At 48.5% G+C, this 19,895-nt stretch overlaps 1 protein-coding gene across 4 annotated transcripts in view, besides 5 other annotated features; it reads right to left on the bottom strand.

Moving 5' to 3' along the window:
- The window catches only part of SLC25A37 (solute carrier family 25 member 37), a 46,508-nt gene extending 32,410 nt beyond the window's left edge, over positions 1–14,098 (bottom strand). For 3 of the 4 annotated variants that reach the window (NM_001317813.2, NM_001317812.2, NM_016612.4), the window contains exon 1: positions 13,842–14,098. Coding sequence is in view for 1 of the 4 variants with exons in the window: in NM_016612.4 (NP_057696.2) it covers positions 13,842–14,051 (210 nt within the window). In the remaining 3 variants the exon portion in view is untranslated. Of the gene's footprint in view, positions 1–6,149; positions 6,221–13,841 lie in introns of all 4 variants that reach the window. The other variant, NM_001317814.2, reaches the window with a different exon arrangement.
- Positions 2–783: an enhancer, noted in NCBI's record as "H3K4me1 hESC enhancer chr8:23399784-23400565 (GRCh37/hg19 assembly coordinates)". NCBI's record gives its function as "activates a minimal SCP1, AML or CMV promoter by ChIP-STARR-seq in primed H9 embryonic stem cells {active_cell/tissue: H9 hESC(primed)}" and the evidence as "EXISTENCE:reporter gene assay evidence [ECO:0000049][PMID:30033119]".
- Positions 12,995–13,064: an enhancer, noted in NCBI's record as "active region_27120". NCBI's record gives its function as "activates an Ori minimal core promoter by ATAC-STARR-seq in GM12878 lymphoblastoid cells {active_cell/tissue: GM12878}" and the evidence as "EXISTENCE:reporter gene assay evidence [ECO:0000049][PMID:35858748]".
- Positions 13,565–13,814: a silencer, noted in NCBI's record as "silent region_19026". NCBI's record gives its function as "represses an Ori minimal core promoter by ATAC-STARR-seq in GM12878 lymphoblastoid cells {active_cell/tissue: GM12878}" and the evidence as "EXISTENCE:reporter gene assay evidence [ECO:0000049][PMID:35858748]".
- Positions 13,865–14,224: a silencer, noted in NCBI's record as "silent region_19025". NCBI's record gives its function as "represses an Ori minimal core promoter by ATAC-STARR-seq in GM12878 lymphoblastoid cells {active_cell/tissue: GM12878}" and the evidence as "EXISTENCE:reporter gene assay evidence [ECO:0000049][PMID:35858748]".
- Positions 14,355–14,404: an enhancer, noted in NCBI's record as "active region_27119". NCBI's record gives its function as "activates an Ori minimal core promoter by ATAC-STARR-seq in GM12878 lymphoblastoid cells {active_cell/tissue: GM12878}" and the evidence as "EXISTENCE:reporter gene assay evidence [ECO:0000049][PMID:35858748]".

The following is a 19,895-nucleotide window of genomic DNA, read 5'->3' as shown; positions in this document are numbered from 1 at the left end:
ATTTAGCTTACTGTAATGTTTTTGTTTTATAAATTTCAATTTTTTGACTTTTTGACTCTTGTAATAACACTTGGCTTAAAACACAAAACACATTGTACAGCTCTACAAAAAATATTTTTTCTCTATATCCTTATTCTATAAGCTTTTCCTTTTAACATTTTTTATTTTTTTACTTTTTAAACTTTTTTCTTAAACATACACATTAGCCTAGGCTTACAGAGGGTCAGGATCATCAATATCACTGTCTTCCACCTCCACATCTTGTCCCAATGCAGCTGGCACCTCCTGTGATCGCAATGCCTTCTTCTGGAATCCCTCCTGAAGGACCTGCCTGAGGCTCTTTTACAATTAACTTAAAAAAAAAAAAAAAAAAAAGGCCAGGGGCGGTGGCTCACACCTGTAATCCCAACACTCTGGGAGGCTGAGGAGGGCGGGTCACCTGAGGTCAGGAGTTGGTGACCAGCCTGGCCAACATGGTGAAACCCTGTCTCTACCAAAAATACAAAATTAGCCGTGCGTGGCGGTGCATGCCTGTAATCTCAGCTACTCTGGGAAGCTGAGGCAGGAGAATCGCTTGAACCCAGGAGGTGGAGGTTGCAGTAAGCCGAGATCGCGCCACTTCGCTCCAGCCTACAGGACAAGAGTGAAACTCCATCTCAAAAAAAAAAAAAAAAAAGTAGGAGTACACTCTAAAGTAATGACAAAAAGTATAGCATAGTAAATACATAAACCAGTAGCAGAGTCTTTCATTATTATTTGCAAGCATTACCTACTAATTGTGTGTGCTATACTTTTACATGACTGGCAGCATAGTAGGTTTACACCAGCATCATCCCAAACACGGGCGAAATGCAATGCGTTGTGATGCCCCTAGGTAATAGGAATTTTTCAGCTCCACTATAATCTATGGGATCACTGTCTCATCACATATGGAGTCCATAGTTGACCGAAACATCGTTATGTGGTGCTGACTGTAATTCAGTCATTCAATGAAGGGCAGGGGATGAAGCTACATTTTCACAAATACCATGTGAATCTTCCTTGGGAGCCACATTACTGTGAATCAGGCTAACGCAAGCCAACGTTTAGCAAACGAACCACAGAGGCGGGTGACTAAGGAAAGCAGCTTTCTTGATTCTTCAGTTAAAGACACACCCTGGGTTTACCCCTTCCACCCTCATATGTATATACACGCACTGGCAGCATCTTCTTGCCTTTGAAAAGATGTCCCCACCTCTGGTCTGACTCCCTGGATCTGATCATCAGCCGGCCACTCAGCAACTTTAATCCAGGCTCCCAACAGCCCTAGGACACCCGTGATCCACAGGAGGGCAGAGAAAGTGGGGAGGGGAGCACTGCGTATCAAGGACGTGCCGTGAGTCAGAGGCACTGCCCGCGGGTCCCGCTGCCCGGCAGGTCTGGCTGGCCAGCTTCCTGCAGGCTGCAAACCTCTCTCTCCATGTTCTGCTTCTAAAGCCAGGCCTTAGGCAATGCAAGGCGCCCGCAAAACCCTCAAGATGGGCACCGTGGGGACCCTGAGACAAAGGCACTTGTGTGCGTTACCTCCTTCTCCTCTTAAGCAAGTGAGGAAAACAGTGACGGGAAAGGCCAAACTGGGGAAGAGCCCAGGCGTCTGCAAACACACACAGTCATTCTTCCGGGATCATTAGTCACCTTCCTGCTCCTGGGGGACCCCTCCTCACAGCGTCCCCAGACTCATCTGCCTGGTGCTCAAAGGGACAGACTTTCTTGGAAAATAAGAGTAAGGATATAAAATCCCACAGACGTCCTCAAACTAACAGCCCTGGGTACACCTCCCTGAAGGTGGGCTCATCCGGTCCTACCCTGCTGGTTTCTGCTACACGCAGCCACTACTATCCCCTGTCTACATTACCACGAAATGAGCATGCTGTGAGCAGCACTGGCTCTTCCTCATTAGCCAGCCAAATGGGCGGCAGCAGACAGCCACCCTGTCTTGGCTCAACAGATGGGAGACACTGTAAGGAGAGAGGTTAAGTGCCCAAGGCCAGGCAGCTGCACTGAGTCCTAGTGCTGGAATGAGAGCCTGGATTTTCCATTCCAATGAGCTAACCTTACCCCTCCCACAGGATCCCAGTGTGATAATAAATACCATGACCTAGCACCTGCACAGAGAGCTTTATACTTTTAAAGCGGTGTTCCCTGCAAGCCTGCCTGTATTTTCTCACTACATGCGTAAGCGGACCTGCCAGGGGAGGCAGGATGGGCACCGTTACCCCTCCTTATTTCAGATAAGAAAACTGCAGCCTTAGTGGACCACGGAACTATGATGTAGTGCTCTTCCCAGTAAGTGACTTATATACATATACTATGATCTGGAAAGGAATCTTCACGACTAGTCCGAATTCAAAACACTATATTGAGTGCAACTTCGACTCACTGCTGAAATGAGAAGGTGTCACAGCAACTGCAATTTGTTTCAGAGAGAGAAGCCAGACGCAGCCAAAAATATCCTGTGGCAATAACCATATGTCATCATCCTTCTTCCTTGCTTGCTGGAGTACTTGCCCAAAGAACTCCTAACTATACGTTAGAGCCCTGCATTCTGTGCCACACTTTCTGGGTGCCATGATTTCCTGGAGTTACTCCCTCGACTCAACTCTGGTTCCTCCATCCCAACAATGCAGCTGGGCCCCATCATCAATCTCAGCCCTTTCTCATATTCTAGAATCCAGCTCAAGGGCTCTGCTGCCATTAACATCTGAGTCTGCATCCAACATCCTACTGGCTTGCTCCAGCCTAATTCCCTTCCTCTCTTCTCTCGCTTTCAGCTCTGGAGCAGAAAAAGGCCCGAGTTCTAGGGCATGTAATTTTTCTGAAGTTCAGTTTTCTCAAATATGAAATGAGAAACAACACCTGCCTTTTCTCACCTTCAAAGGAGAGCTAAGAGGATCAAATGACCAAATAAAAGCTAACAATACAAAAATAATATAAAATTAACAATTGCACCAGCAATATATAAACATACCCAGGCATTGAAGTAATACTTTTAGAAATAACAAGAGGAGCTGATATTAATGGGGCATTTGCCATGTGCCTTAACATTCTAGGTGTATCATCTCAATTAATTCTCACAGCAACACTGAAATGGGTAAAGTTATTAGCCCCATTTTATAGATGAGAAAAATAAGGCAAAGAGAGGTTTCAGGAACTTGACCAGGTGCCACTCCAGGCAGTCTGGCTGCAGAGGTTGTGCTGTTAACCTAAACAGCTCTAATAATCAAGCACATTGCCTCTGATACAATCTGTCATTAGCTTTGCATGTTAAGGTTTGCAAGAGCCATTCACAAATCTATCTCACCTAAGCTTCCCAACAGCCCTGTCAAAAAGGTAAAGTAGATGACACTAGTCTAGATTCACAAGGAGAAAACTAGCCCAGAGAAATGATTAGCCCAAGGTTTCCAAGCTGGTTAATGGCAGGACCAGGACTTAAATTCACGGGGCCCACACCCCGCCCCAGTTTGGTGACCTTTCTAGGGCCTCAACACCAGCATAAGTCTGACACACAAACACTCCTCCGGGTCCCCCACCCACAGCAGTGTCTCAAATGCACCCTTTCTGGTCATGCCAGGGAATAAACACTGTTGGCTAAATATCAGCCAGGGTCTCTCTTTCACCAGTGACAGCCATCACAGACCACGTGGCCAGCCAGAACTCAAGGTCCCAGAGCCTTCCAAGTGGCTCTCTGGATGGATCTAATGGATCCAGAGGCTCGGTGGACCCGGAAGAAGTTCCCTCAGTGACACAAGGCTGCAGTCCCTCAACTTGACCCACACGGCCAGACGTTTCCTAGACCTGTTATGCAACCCTTGCTTCAAGCAAGCTGCTGCTGGGATTTCTCCCTATTTCAACATGTTTTGTTTTCTCTTCAGAGAGAAAGCATGAATGTGAAACCATAACACCTCTTAGTACCCGACAACGGCCCTTCCTGACTGTCTGGGGTTACGAGGAGGGTGGGGGATGTTTTCAAGAGCACCTTCTGTGAGCCAACTTGAGCCTCCAGAATGACTAACCACCGTGGGAGGGAGGGTGAGGATGGTGGGGAGGGAACACAACTGAGGACCACTGTCTCTCGCAGGAGAAAGAACAAATTCCAGAGTGCCCAGCAAAGAAACTAGAATGACGCTACCCTGTAGGCTCTAGACCTGCAAGACGGCAGCAGCTTGAGCAGTTCAGAGTCCATACACGCCAGACCTTGTTCTTCCAGCCCATCTGAAAGTCCGTCAAGACAGGCGACTCTTGTCTTGAAAGGGAGCTGGTTCTGTCGCCTTAGCTCAGGGTCTAATTATAGGAAGCACGCTTACTTTGAGAACGGGGACCAGGCATTCTTATTTTTGTAGCCCAGTGTCTAGCACAGTGCCTAGCCAAGAGGGCACTCAGGAAACGTGGAATGACATGAGTGGCCAAATGAAGACATTGCCTCATCGGGGTATAGCTGCTGCTTGCTGGGTTCTACACACACACACAAACACACACACACACACACACACACGACAAACAACGGAGCCAAGAAAGTCTTCTTTGTGGCCATAACATGCATGGATTCAAAACCAATGCAAAACAAAAATCAAAACTGGAATTTGTTTAATGGCAAGTTTTTTTTTCTGGTTTTTTTTTTTTTTTTTTTTTTTTTTGAGATGAAGTCTCGCTCTGTTGTCCGGGCTGGAGTGCAATGGCGCGATCTCGGCTCACTGCAACCTCCGCCTCCCAGGTTCAAGTGATTCTCCTTCCTCAGCCTCCCAAGTAGCTGGGATTACAGGCACCCACCACCACGCCCAGCTAATTTTTGTATTTTTAGTAGAGACGGGGTTTTGCCATGTTGGCCAGGCTGGTCTCAAACTCCTGACCTCAGGTGATCTGCCCGCCTCGGCCTCCCAAAGTGCTGGGATTATAGGTGTGAGCCACCACGCCCAGCCAATAGCAAGTTTTAAAGCTTTTCATAACTTTTTTTTTTTTCATCTTTTTTAAAAAGCCGTGCCTTCCTTCATTCAACCAATATTCACAGAATACTTCTTTGTCATTCTGTGGATGAGTCCAAGAAAGGCTGGAGGAGGAAAGAGTTTCAGTCTGTGTGCCTGCCATGCAAAGGTCGGGCTTTACATGCAAGGCAAACAGAAGTGCTGAGGGATTATCAGGTGGGGAGACACACAGGTGTGAACTACAGAAAGACGTGGCTACTCCCTGTCTTTCTGCAGGCTTGCAGGCTCTGCGGCAGGCACCACGAAGAATGGGCTGGATCTTCCACTCCAATCAGCTAAACTTACCTCTCCCGCAGGATCCCAGTGTGACAAAAAACACCATGACCTAGCACCTGCACTGAGCTTTACACTTTGAAAACTGTGTTCCCTGCAAACCTGCCTGTATTTTCCAACTAGATGCACTAAAACGACCTGCAAGGGAGGCAGAATCGGCACTGCTACTCTTCTCTATTTCCGATGAGAAAACTGCAGCCCACCAGGAAGCTGCTGGGCTTGGAGGCTGAAGAGCAGGACCAGCCATGGCTGACGTGCAGAATGAACTGCAGAAGCTCCTCCATCAAATACTTACTGAGCACCTACTGTGTTTCTGGCAATGGGAATACAGTGGTGAACAGAAGAGCATACATCCCTGCCCACTTGGGGCCTACATTCTGATGAGGGAAGAGAGACCATAAACAATACAAATAATACTATAAATATAAGTAAAATATGTAAACAATATAAATAAACGATGGTGTGTGTTACGAAGTAACAACTGCTGGGGAGAAAAACAAAGCAGCAATGGGCAATAGGGAAATGTGAGGCAGGGGAGAGTAATCTCATTTTTTTTTTTTTTTTTTTGAGACAGGGTCTTGCTCTGTTGCCCAGGCTGGAGTGCGGTGGTCCAATCATAGCTCACTACAGCCTCGACCTCCCAGGCTCAAGCAATTCCCCCACCTCAGCCTCCCAAGAAGCTGAGACCACTGGCGCATACCACTATACCAAGCTAATGTTTTTATTTTTTGTACCTATGGGGTCTCGCTATGTTGCCCAGGCTGGTCTCCAACTCCTGGCCTCAAGTGATCCTCCCACCTCGGCCTCTCAAGGTATTGGGATTACAGGCGTGAGCCACTGAGCTCGGCCTAAACTCACTTTTAACTTGGGCAGTCTGGGATCTCAAGGAAGAGGAGACATCCAGGTCCCTGAACCAAGGCAGTAAGTAGCTGTGGGGAGGGAGAGAAGGAAACACATTCAAGAAGTACTACAGATACAGCCACAGGCAGGCCTTCCCTGCATACAGGGCAGCAGTGGGAGAAAAGCTGATGACCATCCCAGGGTGCAGAAGGAGGCAGAAGGGCAGGCCCGAGGGGAAGCCAGGACCACCATTCTGGCCACACTGAGTCTGAGGAGGCTCCGAGGCAACTGGAGATTCAGCTCCAGAAAGTCTGGGCCCAAGATAGTGATCTGGGAGCCATCAGGTCCCAGGAGGAAACTGAGGCATGTGTGCTGGGGAAAATGAGGTGGAAGGGCACATTCCTGAGGAGAAGCCATGCCCAAAGAGGAAAACTGAGGATCGCAGGGCCAACCCCCTCTCGGAGGTGCCCCTGGCAGGAACAGAGGCAGCAGGGTGGGCCAGGAAGATGATGGGTAGCCAGAAGTCTCTGTGAGGCTGCGGCTGGGCAGTGCAAAAGCCAGGAAGCAGGGGTGGCAGTGAGGAAGTAGAGACCAGTGTCAATAGTTCTTTCAGAACATGTGTTGTTTTAAGGAGGAAAAAAAGGGGCAACAGTTTGTTTATGGGAAGAAACATTGGGGGTGCATGTGAGGTCAAGGTGAGAAGTCTGGGGTTTATTTAAGACAGGATGGGCTTGGATCTGTAGAAACACTTTTGAGAAAAACTCAATGGAGCAGGAAGCCTAAAGATCCTGGAACCGAGTCACTCAAGAGTGAGGGGACAAAAATGACATCACCATCACCATTTATTGACAACGTACGCACCACGCACTGTGGCAAGAACTTTACATATGTTGCCTCATTTAATTCTTACAACAACCCTATAAAATAGCTCTTGGTATTTGATATGGTTTGGCTGCGTCCCCACTCAAATCTCATCTTGAATAGTGGCTCCCATAATTCCCACGTGTTATGGGAGGGACCCAGTGGGAGGTAATTGAATCATGGGGGCAGTTTCCCCCACACTGTTCTCATGGTAGTGAATAAGTCTCACGAGATCTGATGATTTTATATGGGGAAAACCCCTTTCACTGGGTTCTGTCCTCTTTCTTGTCTGTTACCATGTAAGATGTGCCTTTTGCCTTCTGCCATGATTGTGAGGCCTTCCCAGCCACGTGGAACTGTGGGTCCATTAAACCTCTTTCTGTATAAATTACGCAGTCTCAGGTATGTCTTTATCAGCAGCTTGAAAACAGACTAATACAGTATTCATATCCCCACTTTGCAGAGAAGGAACCTGAGCTTAGAGAGGTTAGGTAATGTGCCCAGGTGTGCAGCCAGTATTCAAATCCTGGTGTCAAGGTGGTTTGTATACATCTCCCTTCTCTGCCACATTGATATACCTTAAAGGAATGAAGACACCTGTTCCCTTATAGTGGGGGTAGAAGGCAAGAGAGTTTGGAAGGACAGTGACAGGAAGATGGGTTTGATTGAGGTCCTGGTTTCCCTATGACATGGAAGCAAGATGCCAGGCTGAGGCTGACAACAATAGGGTGGGGAGCTAAGGGGCAACAGGACCCTCGTGAAGGATGCAAGCAGCTGCCCAGACATGTGGAGCTGAGGCCAGGGAGCATGCGCATTGGAGGCAGTGTGAATGTCCCCTGAAGGGCTTCGCTGCCCAAGGGACAGATGGGCTGTCCAGGACCCAGGTGGGGCAAGCCAGGGTTGGAAGAACCAAAGGCAGAGAAACTAAAGGCCCCAGCAGCTGCAGCAGTCAATCTTGGGGTCCAGGCTATAATAATCTGGATTTAAGATCTCAGGAAGATTCTGAGTTAGGTCAAGGGACCATGGAGGTGAAGGCCATTGACTCAGAGGTGTAAGGAATGGAGTGATTTGGACTTGAGTCGGGTGGGGACGAAGAGGGGCCATCCTCAGGGTGAGGACGGGATCTGTGGAGGTGAAGTCTGTGCATCAGATGCCAGAGTCCTCAGGGAATGAGAGAAAGTGATGGCAATCATGCTGATGATGATGAAGATAAAGATGAGAGCAGACATCAGAGAGTATCAACTGTTCTGTGCGTGTACCAGGCATGTGAAGTGCAGCGAGGGCTTAACCCTCCTCACAACCACCCTGGGAGATCGGTACCATCTCTTCTTCTTTTTACAGATAGGGAAATAGCACAGAAAGGTTAAGAAACTTGCCCAAGGTCACACCTAACTGGGAAATGGGACCCGGTCCAGGGATTTGGACTCAAGGGTCCATGCTCCCAACCCTTAGCAAGAGGAGCTGGATTTCCATCAGGAGGGGGAAGTGAAAGAAACATTCGGTAAAGAGGGGAAGATGTAAGGGAGCTTGTTAACAAGGAACTTCCACAAGGCCCACTGGAAAAATGAGAGAAGTGGGAAAGAAGCAATGGAAAGCTGGGTCAGGAAAGAGAAAGCAGGAAGAAAATCAGGATCCCCATTTGACAAGTAAGGACATGAAGAAGCTAAGTGTCCTGCCCAACCAGTAAGTCAAAGACTGGAATTTGAACCCCAAGATAGTTCTCTAAGGGTGGGAAATCCATCTCAGTAGGAACTTGAGGGAAGGTTGAGGGAACTTTAGGGAAGGTTTCCAGTTCAACAAAAAGAAAGAGGCTGGGCATGGTGGTTCATGCCTGTAATCCCAGCACTTTGGAAGGCCAAGGTGGGAGGATCGCTTGAGCCCAGGAGTTCAAGACCAGTCTGGGCAACAAATTGAGGCCCCCATCTCTACAAAAAAATACAAAAAAATTAGCCAGGCATGGTGGCATGTGCCTGTAGTCCCAGCTACTCAGGAGTCTGAGCTGGGAGGATCACTCAAGCCCTGGGAGGTCAAGGCTGCAGTGAGCTGCAATCACACCACTACTCTCCAACCTGGGTGACAGACCGAGACCCTGTCTCAAAAAAACAAAAAAAAAGAGAGAGAGAGGGAGAAAAAAAAGAGAAAGAGATTGGATATACCCCTCCTATGACAAACATCAGACACAACATTCAAGGTGGGCATGGGAGTGGCAAAGCCATGCATCCTGGCATGGTCCAGCCAACACCATGATCACAGGGGTATGTCTGTGGCCAGCATGGATGGGACATGACAGCCGGTATTTCGGATTAAAAACAAAAACAAAAACACAAATTCTTTGACAAGAAAAGGTTCCGTACTAGTGGAGACAGGAAAAGAGCCAAAAAGCTCTGGGGTTCAAGAAAGATGCTGAAGGCTTCCACACCAGCAGGTGAGTTCATCCGATGAGTCAGAAGAAGGAAACCCCTGAAGTCAGAGAGAGTCAGAAGCCCAAGACTAAAAAACAGAGAAAGTGGAACTGATTCCCCAAGACTGGTCACTGCTGCAAGACAGGACAAAACTCATCTCTAATGAGATGGCCACATGCAGCTGAAACGTGCCCAAGTGGAAGCCAGGAAAAGGTTTGGGAAGCACATTCCTCCCTTCCAGGTGACACGCACATCCCCCACCCCAGGTGCACACCCCTGTATAGTTTAAGCAAAGCAGCTGATTAAATCCTCCCATTCAACCCCAAATACCTCTCCCTACTAAAAAGCTGAGGCCCCCTTTGCTGTTCACAGTACTCTTGGGCACGCGCCTCCAAACCACGCTCCAGCCTGCCCCTCCCCAATTTAGGGCAGAGAAAAGTGGATGAGGTTCTCACACTCCTCAGGGTAGGCCTGAGGGGTACAGGCCATGGCTGCCTGGGGGTTCATGAAACAAGGAACAGGACTGCAGCTCACAAATACCCCTTTTTTGATTCCTCGTTCCAAATTCGCCTTTTAAGAAAATCACCTCTCATCAAAGGAGAGAAAAGAAGGGAGCAGGGGGATGTGAGGGAGAGGAGACAAGAAGGGAGAGAGAAAAATCATTATAGTTTTGTCCCAGGAACTAGAGCAATTTGGGATTTCACGCCCTTCTGAAGCTGAATGGCATGGACCGAACTGCACTTTGTTTGGAAAGCAATGAAGTGGGTGGGAGGGGACTCTGGCAGCTGCCTGCACTGCCCCCCAGCACCCTTCCTACCAGTCTGCCTGCAGCCAGGAGAAAACTCAGAAGAGGAGAAGTCAGAAGTTGAGGTAATGCTCTGCTGAGCTGGGCAGGCTGGCTGTGCACACCATAAGGTCAGCCAGGAGGCTCCTAGAGGGAACGCTCCGTGGTGCACCAACCTGGGAAGGAGGGCTCATCCTAGGAGAGTCACAGGCAGGGTTTCCCCCAACAGCAAAGCAAAAGAAGGGTTGTGAAAGGGTCAGCGGAAGTCCCCCGGCTTCAAATCTTTCCTGTTTCCTTCTGCCCCTGCTTTCCCCAGGCGGGACTCGGCATGGTCTCCGAGTGGTGTGCCTAATCTGGTTGGAATTTCCTCCTCCACCCACCTGGCATGCTCCTCAAGTCTTGAGCTCTCCTGATCAGACCAGGGGTTCTTGTATCCACCCCAAGTGCCCCTTGCCACTCTGGAACACCAGAAAGAGGCTCATGGAAAACCTGCCACCAGACCCCGCCTAGACAGGAGTAAGTCATTGCCACCATTTGGTGAGAGCCCTGCAGAGACCCTATACTCCCTCCCTGGGTATCACTTTGCTGCTCACTGTCATCGCAGGGGCAGCCAAAGGTCCCAGTAGACTGGCCCTTTATGGATGAATGAGTGCTCACATCCCACCATGGGAGGACCAAGGGAAAGAAGAAGACACAGGAAGCAGCAGGAAAGTTGCCAAAGGTCTTCCAAATACCCATTTCATAATCTCAGTGTTGCCTGCTGGGGCTCCAGAGATATTTTCTCAGGTTCAGTGGTTTTCATATTTGTTTGACCACAACTCCCAGCCAGAAGTACATTGTACACGTCTGTAAAATGCACTCAGAGACACACACACAACCCAAACAGAATTTCAACATTTCTCCCACTGCATGCCAGGCACACCCGTATTTTTACACTCTCACTAATAACTTCTTTTATTTATTTATTTATTTTTAAATGCAGAGTCCACTAATGGGTCATGGCCCACCATGTAAAAAACACTAGTTATTAAAGTGACACTGGGGATGTGAGGTGTGACCTCACGAAGAAGCAAATTTAATATTATAATGGGAAGCATCCACCAGGCCGACTTTGCACTTAGAACTGCAAAATAAGTAGCATCAGGTTCAGGGTTGAAAGTGACCAGCACAGAGCTCCACAGTCCACATTACCTAGGATAGAAAAAAGCCAGCCGATTCAACATTCTTATTTGTCATTACAAGATCAAAGTTAAAAATGGCGCCTTTCAAAACTGGAGAAAGCTTTCTCTCTTTCAAGATCCGATTTACATAGATTTGTTTTCAGCTGTAATAATTCTTTTGATATTTCAAGTAACATAAAAGAGGACGATGGGTGTTGTGTGTTCAGAGAAACGAGGCATGGGTTAAAAATGTGGAGAGGGACTGAGCAGGTCCACTGTCCCCACTTTATAGTGACAAAACTAAGGCACAGAACAGTGCCCGAGGCATGAAGCAAGTGAGAGCAGGGCTTGAAGCCCAACCCGGGTTTCTTGACTCAGTTACTCCCGGTCTTCGCCATCATCCAAAATACTTAAGAGGAACACAGGTGTGGTCTCCCCCAAGCCTTTCCATGATGGAGGATGCACCCCTGACTCCTCATGCTTGGCAGACAACTGTGCTGATGTTGGCAGACCTTGGCACTCAGTGGCAGCCTCAAAACCAACCCTGCACACTTCAGCATGGAAGGGCCCCTAAGGGTCAGTTATAATCCCAGAACCTAGAAGACTTCACTGATTAGCTAACCCACGCCTTGTTTTACAGACTTGTCTAGGAAAACCAGACCGGCTCCTTCTACCATTCACACCATGTTAACCTGTCCACAGGTGAAAACTGCTATGGAAAGTAATACTAAGTATACAGGTGACATCTGAACCAAAACATATCAACATGTATGGGGCAGGGAGAAACTAAACACAGATCACACAATTTAAACGTGTGAGAAACGCCTCTTGAGAGTGTCAAAGGGTGCTCAGAAGGCACAACTAATTATTTCTAATCCTAAAAATAAGCTAAAATGATGCTCTAAAGTGAACTCACTGTGGGGTTCCCGAATAGAACATTCATCTCAAGACACCAGTAGGACTAGGGCCTGCTCAGATAACACCTCCCTGCTCCTAACTTTCCCCAGACTCTGCCCAGGGCAGTTGAGACAACAGCTTCAATCATGGAGAATTTTATTACATTTGAGGGATTCTTTCCCATACAAATGCCACCTGGTATCAGTCCAGTGTCTTTCCTGGAGATGAGAACCATTCCTCTAACTCCCCACTGGGACACTGGAGGGACATATGGGTGATGGCTCAGGCTTAGGTCCAGCAGCACCTTGGAAGCCCATGTCTTTCCTCACTGGACTTCTGCCTGTCCAGACACTGACTGCTGGCTCCAAGCGAGCTCCCCGGAGCCGGGAAAACCCTCTGAGTTATACTTTCTGGCCTTCATACCTGCTCATGCAGGACCAGCATCAGCAACAAGATAAAGCTGCTGGGGGTGCCTCTGTGGGACCTGCCTTGCAAAATAATTGCCACCTAGAGAGGCCTCCGAATCCTCCAAAGCACACTGCAGCTGCAGCCAGAGGATAGGAGGTGGTGTAGGAGCCTGGGCAAGGTAATCGGTTCGCCTCTCTGCGCCTCAGTTTCTTCATCTGTTAACCCCCAGGGCTGTTGCATGAATTAGGCGAGTTATGCCTATAAAAGTGCAACGTGTAACAGTCAATACTGGCATTACTTCCTGCACTACTCTATCCTGGCCCTGGGGTGTTCTGGGCAGGCTGACAGAGGGCAGGTCTCAGTCTACCAGGCAAAACGCACCTAGTAACGCTGCCTCTTTACAGAAATGCAGTTAAAACTACCGGGGCAAGTGACAGACAGGGTTTAAAGGAAACTGAGTGCCTCTCACACAATCCACAGCAAGGGCTGTAAGGCACAAGCCCACCCACCTCCCCGCAAGCAAAAGGAGAAGGCAAACGTCATTGCCTCCCGGCGGCTCGGCGACCCAAAGTCGGGGGAAGAAGTGCAGGAACCCTCAGAAAGGGGATCCCACGGGCCGCTGTCGAACCGGTAAAGAGCTGCCACTAGTCGAGAGAAGACTTGCCGGCCCCAAGTTCCCGAAATAACCCGGGGAGCAGCAGCCACACACCAAGTCCCGAGGGCGCGCGGCCGGGCCAGGGCCACACGTTTCTCAGCTCCAGCGTGGTGAGGGCTTCCCCTGCGGGGAGCTCCCTCGGAAACCGCGCACGTGTGGGCGGCCCCAGCCAGCCCGAACGGCCAGCGTGGTAAGACTGTGCAGAGCTTCAGCGATCGCGTCCCCCGGGAGCCCAGTCGCCGCCGAAGCCAGCGGTGCTCGCCACTCCGCCTCCCCCGCCTCAGCGCCGCCAGCAGCCGGGGCCGGGCACGCGGCTGGAGCAGCGGGCGGTGCGGGGCGAGGACCGGGCACCCTCGCGGGGTCGGCGGAAGGCGCGGCGCCCAGGCTGCGCGCAGCTGCTCCTGGGGCGACCCCGGCCAGCCGCGGTCCTGGGGAGAGCTCGGTTTCGGGACGCTGCCCCGAGGCTGCCGGCGCGCGGGATGCAAATGCGCGCGCGCGCTCCTTCTCCGCTCGTTGCGTCCCCGAAGTCTCCCCGCGCCTCACCTTCACCGAGTCCACCGGGTACATGACCGAGTGCTCCAGGATCCCGGCCATCGCTCCTGCTGTCATGTGGGTGGACACGGAGGCGCTAGTCGGCAGGTTCTCGTAGTCCTCCGACCCGGTGGCGTCCTTGCCGCCGCCGCCATCTCGGCTGTCCCCATCCATCCTCCGCGCCACCGCCTGGCTGCCCACGCTCCCGCTGCGCAGCTCCATCCGCCAGCTCGGCGGGGCGCAGGAGGCTGCAGGAGGTGGGCAGGGAGGGGGAGGGGCGCAAAACTTCACTTCTTAAAGTGGGAGCCACCTCCCCGGGGCCGCGGCGCCTGACGCCATGGCGGGCTGGGGTGGAGCGCAGCGGCCAGAGACACCAATCGCCGGGAACCAAGAGGCCGGCGGCCGCCGCGCCATTGGTGTGCGGGACAGTGGGGACCCGCCTCCCTGTGTGACGTCACCGTCCCGTGCACATTTCCAAGCAACCGGACGGGGGCGAGAGGAGACGTGGGGTGGCCCGGAAAGTTGTACTATCTTGAGGATGGGCTGGTCCGCGAGGGGCAGGGGAGGTCATTGGGGAGGGGCCGCAGTGGGGTATGCCCAGAGCTGGAGGCATGGGTGACAGTGTCTCGGGGAAAATCCGTCCCCGTGGCGGGTGGGTTTGCAAACAGAATCGCTCAGTGAGCTTTGGCATTCCTAAGGCCTGAATTCAAACCTCAGGGGCCCGTTCTAGACTGCTTTGTTGGAGAGACCCCCATTCATTCGAAATTGTTTCTCTCAACCTAAATACATAATGCAGAGCTAAATGTGTTCCTCTTGTTCTCACCGAGAGACCGAACCCACCCTGCCCTGGACCGAGCAAGGCTATAAGGAGTGACCAGGAGGGAGCCCCTCTGAGTAGGCACCTCCAGGAAATTTTCTTTGGGTTTGATAGGCCCATAAGGTCTGTAGAGGCCTGATCTCACAGTTAGGAGTGTGAACTGGCTGAGAGTAAAATCTTACAGCCTTGCCCCTGCCTGTCTTAAGACTGTGGTCACCTAGTTCTTAAAGTCGTCCTAAGCTGGCCTCTTCAATAAAGTGTAACCCAGGCTGTTTTAATATTGTTTTGCTCCAGTCTGGGGAAAAAGGGAGAAATCAGAAAGTAGGGGAGGGACCTGTCTGCCTCTGGAAGTGTCCGTCTAAATTGCGTGTTCCAGGGCTTAAGATGACTTGGGCTGATCAACTTGTAGGCACCAGGGCCTCCCTGCCTTATCTAGACAAGGCTTCTCGTCAGGAAAGCTGGATCCTGAGATATGAAAGGGTGGGGAAGACCCTGAAGAGGCTGAGCCTACTCTCTGCCCTCACCGTGATCAGCATCCCAAGCAGCTCTTAGGGATTTGAGATACAGTAATGTGAGCATGGGTAGAGGTCAATAGAGGCGTCAGGACCAAGAGCACTGTTTGCCTAGTTTTGGTAGCTGCAGATAGTAGCTGGCAAGCTGAGTGCTAAGGATGTGATAAGTAAAAACAGGCTCTGTGTTTTTACTTAGCCATCTCTGTAATGGCTAGAGAAAACTCTACTTTTGTCAAAGGTCGTTTTTAAGAAATACTGATCAGAAGCTGTTGATCCTTATTTTTAAGTGGATGCCCTTTAAGCATTAAGTCTGTAAGAACCCACTGCCCCACTTCTGGGAATGTAACAAAAACCCAAATACACAGGAAGCTCTTCTTCAAAGCATTCCTTAGAGCAGTAAATCATTGGAAACAACCTAAATGGTCAACCAGAAGGGAATGGCTAAGGAAATTATGATGTGTGCATAATATTAGTGAAATATTATGCAGCCTTTACAAGTGGAATTTACATTACACGACATGGACGATGATTATAATGTAATGTTAGGTGAAAAAAACAAAACGAAATTCTATAACCATTGCATTCACAAAGATGTAAATGTGCTCAGGAAAAGAATCGCATGGTTACTGTGCTAGTGATGGAGGCTTATAGGCAACTGCTTTGACTTTATTTTTCAGACTTTAAATAATACTTTTATTATTTCTGTAATTTAAAAATAAAAAACCATTCTTTTTAGGAAATATATACCATATTTACACATACATACACACATCTATATATAGAAGTATATATGTATAGAATATAGATATGTGCATATGTATAAGATATATAGATAGGATATAGAATATACACATATGTACATATATAAAATATGTTGATTTGTGTATATAAATATATATAGATATATGTGTATATATAAATGTATTTTTTTACTTAGCCTCTCAGCATTCATATCCATGTGTATATATAAAATATATATACATTTTATGTATAAATATGTACATTTTATATATATAAATTTTATATTTTATGTATGTTTTATATAAATTTTATGTTATATATATTTTATATAAATTTTATATTATATATTTTATATAGATTTTATATTTATATATATTTATATATTTTTTATATTTATATATATTTATATATATTTTATATTTTATATATATTTTATAATTTATATAAATTTTATTTTATATATATTTTATAATTTATATAAATTTTATATTTTATATATAAGATATATACACGTCTATATATTTTACACATATTTAATATATACCTATGTATATATGATATATACACCTATGTATACATATATACATCTATGTACATATATACACCTGTTATATATGTATGTATATTATATGTATACCTATATTATATATAATACATATGTATAAGATATATTTTATATATATATACACACACACACACACACACACCTCCTAATGGATGAGAAACCCCCTGAACTTTGCAATGGTGATACCAGTGGAAAGAAGTTGCCTTTTGATGGTTAAGAGAATTCTTAGCAAATGTGAATATGCCCATAATCTTCACAGACGTGATTTTTGTTTAATTTCATTAAATAAATGTTAGAAACAGTTGAAAATCTTTGGAATATTGATTATTTAACAGAATTCAATATTTTTTTCTCCCCACCTATGGTAGATATGGTGGTTTGGCACTTAGCATCTTGCACTCCTCCTTGGACTGCAGTGGCCAGAACATGTAAAGCCACATTTCTCAGACTTTCTTGCAGCCAAGGGTCTAGCCATGAATTATATTCTGGCAATAGATGAATTGGAAAGATCTGGAAAGTGAACATGAGCTGAAGCTCCCTTCCTGTTCTTTGGTGTTTTCTGCTGCCTAGCAAGGTCACAGACACTTGAGGCAGGAACAGTTGGGGCGGGCAGTGGGTTCCCCACTGCAACAGCATGGCAGTGTTTGGTCACCAGATTCATGGATGCTGAGAGGTATTTATGGAATGAGGGGGTGCAGCAGTGATAAGTGGCAGCCTCCCGATCCCCGCACCGTGACTTTGTAGGTGGCCTTCTGATTCCTTGCCTTTGAGGCCATGGCAGAGGTAGCCAGTCCCTTGGGAAGCCAGTTTGGCAGTGTGGATCTGTGCCTAAACCCCTCCCCACGGTTTTGTGCATAGCAGTGAAAGGGCATAGTAATGAAGGCGCCATCCCGGATGTCACAAGGCAGCAGCCGGTCCAGCTCCCAGACCTCTAGGGAAGGCATGCTGCGAGAGGGTGGCATCCCAGACAGCATAACCCAGTGCTTGGGCCACACTGCCATCAGGAAGGGAGCAGCTCTCTCTTTGAAAGGCAAGAACATGGCAACCAGGAGCAGAGGAGTGGCAGCTCATTTGGTCCTCTCCCATGGGGCAGGCCAGGAAGCTCAGAATGACTTGTTGCTTCTATCGGAGTCTTTCGTAAAGTTCCTGAACGTTGTAGTTCTGAAGATGTCGTCATGCAGCCCTGGCCTAACTGGAAGCCAAGCTCCATTTAGAAAGAGGAAGCTGTAGAATGTGCAGGGCAAGAAGCACCTGACTTGGAGGTGTAGACCTGTGCAAGCCCTGCTTCCAGTGTTCACTAGCTGAGGGGCTCTGGCCTGTTTCTGGCAAGCTTCCTCCTCTGTAGACTTTGGTCATTCATACTACATGGTGAACAAAATATAGAGGAAAATAAACTCTATATTTGGAAGAGTATATATCTCAATTATATATGCTGCACCATGGAAGCTCATGGTGAAGTTTAGATATAATTTTGGAGAGTTGGGAGAAAAGAGGACAGAAAATGAGGGTTGCAGAGGGAAGAGGTTCAGGCTTTCTCCCAAATCCTGCTTTTTTTCATAAGAATTACTCTAGCCCTGACATCCATCTGCTCCATGCAACACACAGGTACATTACTACCCTACTTATAATTTAGCCAGTGCTGGGTGTCTCCCTGGGTCCCAGCACTCCTCTGCTTTGTGTGAGAGAGAAGACTCTTGGCCACGGAGCAACTGCAGCTAGCATTATGTCAACTAGGGCACCTGGTAGTGTGGTGTGCTTTCAGGCTTTGTTGATCTTTGATGTTTTGTGGGTTTTTCTGGTTTGTGTGTTTGTTTGTTTGTTTGTTTGTTTGTTTTTGAGATAGAGTCTCGCTCTGTGACCCTGGCTGGAGTGCAGTGGTATGATCACCGCTCATGCAGCCTTGAACTCCTGGGCTCAAGCAATCCTCCTGCCTCAGCCTCCTGAGTAGCTGGAACTACAGGCACTTGTCACCACACCTGGCTAATTTTTAAATTTTTCTGTAGACACAAGGTCTCACTGTATATTGCCCAGGCTGATCTCAACCTTCTGGACTCAAGCAATCCTCCTGCCTCAGCTTCCCAAAGTCCTTGGATTACAGGTGTGAGCTACTGCACCTGGCCTGTTTTTTATAATGCACTCTCATCCCCATCCTGGGTAATTTTAAGTGGAGTGCACATGTTGGGAGGGCCTCAAAGGACTCTGGGCACACAGTCCCTCCCTCCCTCATACAGGTCTTGTCCTGTAGCCCCAGATTCCTTGCTTTCCCTGGGACAGTGCTGTGTTTCTAAATCTATCCGAGACTCATACAGAAATGAGTCTCCCCATGAGATGGACGAATAAATGGAGGCAAAAGCTAGCCTCCCTCTCAAACCCCAAGTCAAATAAAGAAGAGATGGGAAAGAGTCATCAGATGGGAGAACACAGGGTTGCCTCACTTTACCAGGCATCCTTGTACAACCAGTGGTGACTGGCAAGGGTCAGAGCTGGGGTGTAATCAGTAACTTGAGAGAGAAGCGTTGATCTGCCTCCCAGGAGCCGCCTGTGCCCTGGCGTCCTCCCACTCTGCTGCTTGACTCTACCAATCATCATGCCTCGTGACGTGGGTGGGCCACCGCAAGAGCTGACATCTGCATTTTTCCCTCTCCTCGCCTGTTTCCACAAATACAATTGGTGCCCCCATCACCTAATAGAACCTCTCTTCCCTGCTCCTTACCTGAAGCTAGTACCCTAAGTCTCTCCTCCATCCTGAAGTCCTCGGGAGAGGACTCTCCCTGCTGTCTCTGCTAAAAATGCACTCAGTCCTTAACCCTTTGCGTGACAGTTTCTTTTCTTTTCCTTTCTTTTTTTTTTTTTTTAGACAGAATCTCACTCTGTCGCCAGGCTGAAGCGCAGTGGCGCAATCTCGGCTCACTGCAACCTCGGCCCCAAGGATTCAGGTGATTATCCTGTCTCAGCCTCCTGAGCAGCTGGGATTACAGGCGCCTGCCACCATTGCGTGGCAGTTTCTAACCCTTGCAGTTTTCTACAGGAATTTTTGCGTGCCAGCCACATCAGCTGCTCCTCCCAGCATGAACCTCTCAGCCTCCGCCTCCTCTGGAATCCCTTCCTCACTTCCGCTCGCTTTCTTGGGGCCCTCTGCCTTTTCTCCCTCTCCTTCCTCCCTCCCTGCAACCCCGTCCTGGCAGCTGCTGTCCTGTCCTCCCGTTGGTCATCTCTCCTATTCCCACACCCCAGTTACCAACCCCAGCTCCTCCTCATTCCAGTCCCACCCACGTATTCATGTGCCTCCCGGCAGCTCTACCTGAATATTCTGCTGCACCTAAAGCTCAGAAAGCGTAAAATATTTGTGTCCTGGGAGTGCTCTAACAAAATGACACAAACTAGGTGACTTAAAACAACAGAAATGTGGCCTGGCGCGGTGGCTGACGCCT

The sequence above is a fragment of the Homo sapiens genome, chromosome 8 (genome assembly GCF_000001405.40).
Source record: "Homo sapiens chromosome 8, GRCh38.p14 Primary Assembly".
Lineage (NCBI taxonomy): Eukaryota > Metazoa > Chordata > Mammalia > Primates > Hominidae > Homo > Homo sapiens.
The sequence above is the reverse complement of the archived record's forward strand: the minus strand, read 5'-3'. Positions and strand labels throughout refer to the sequence as shown.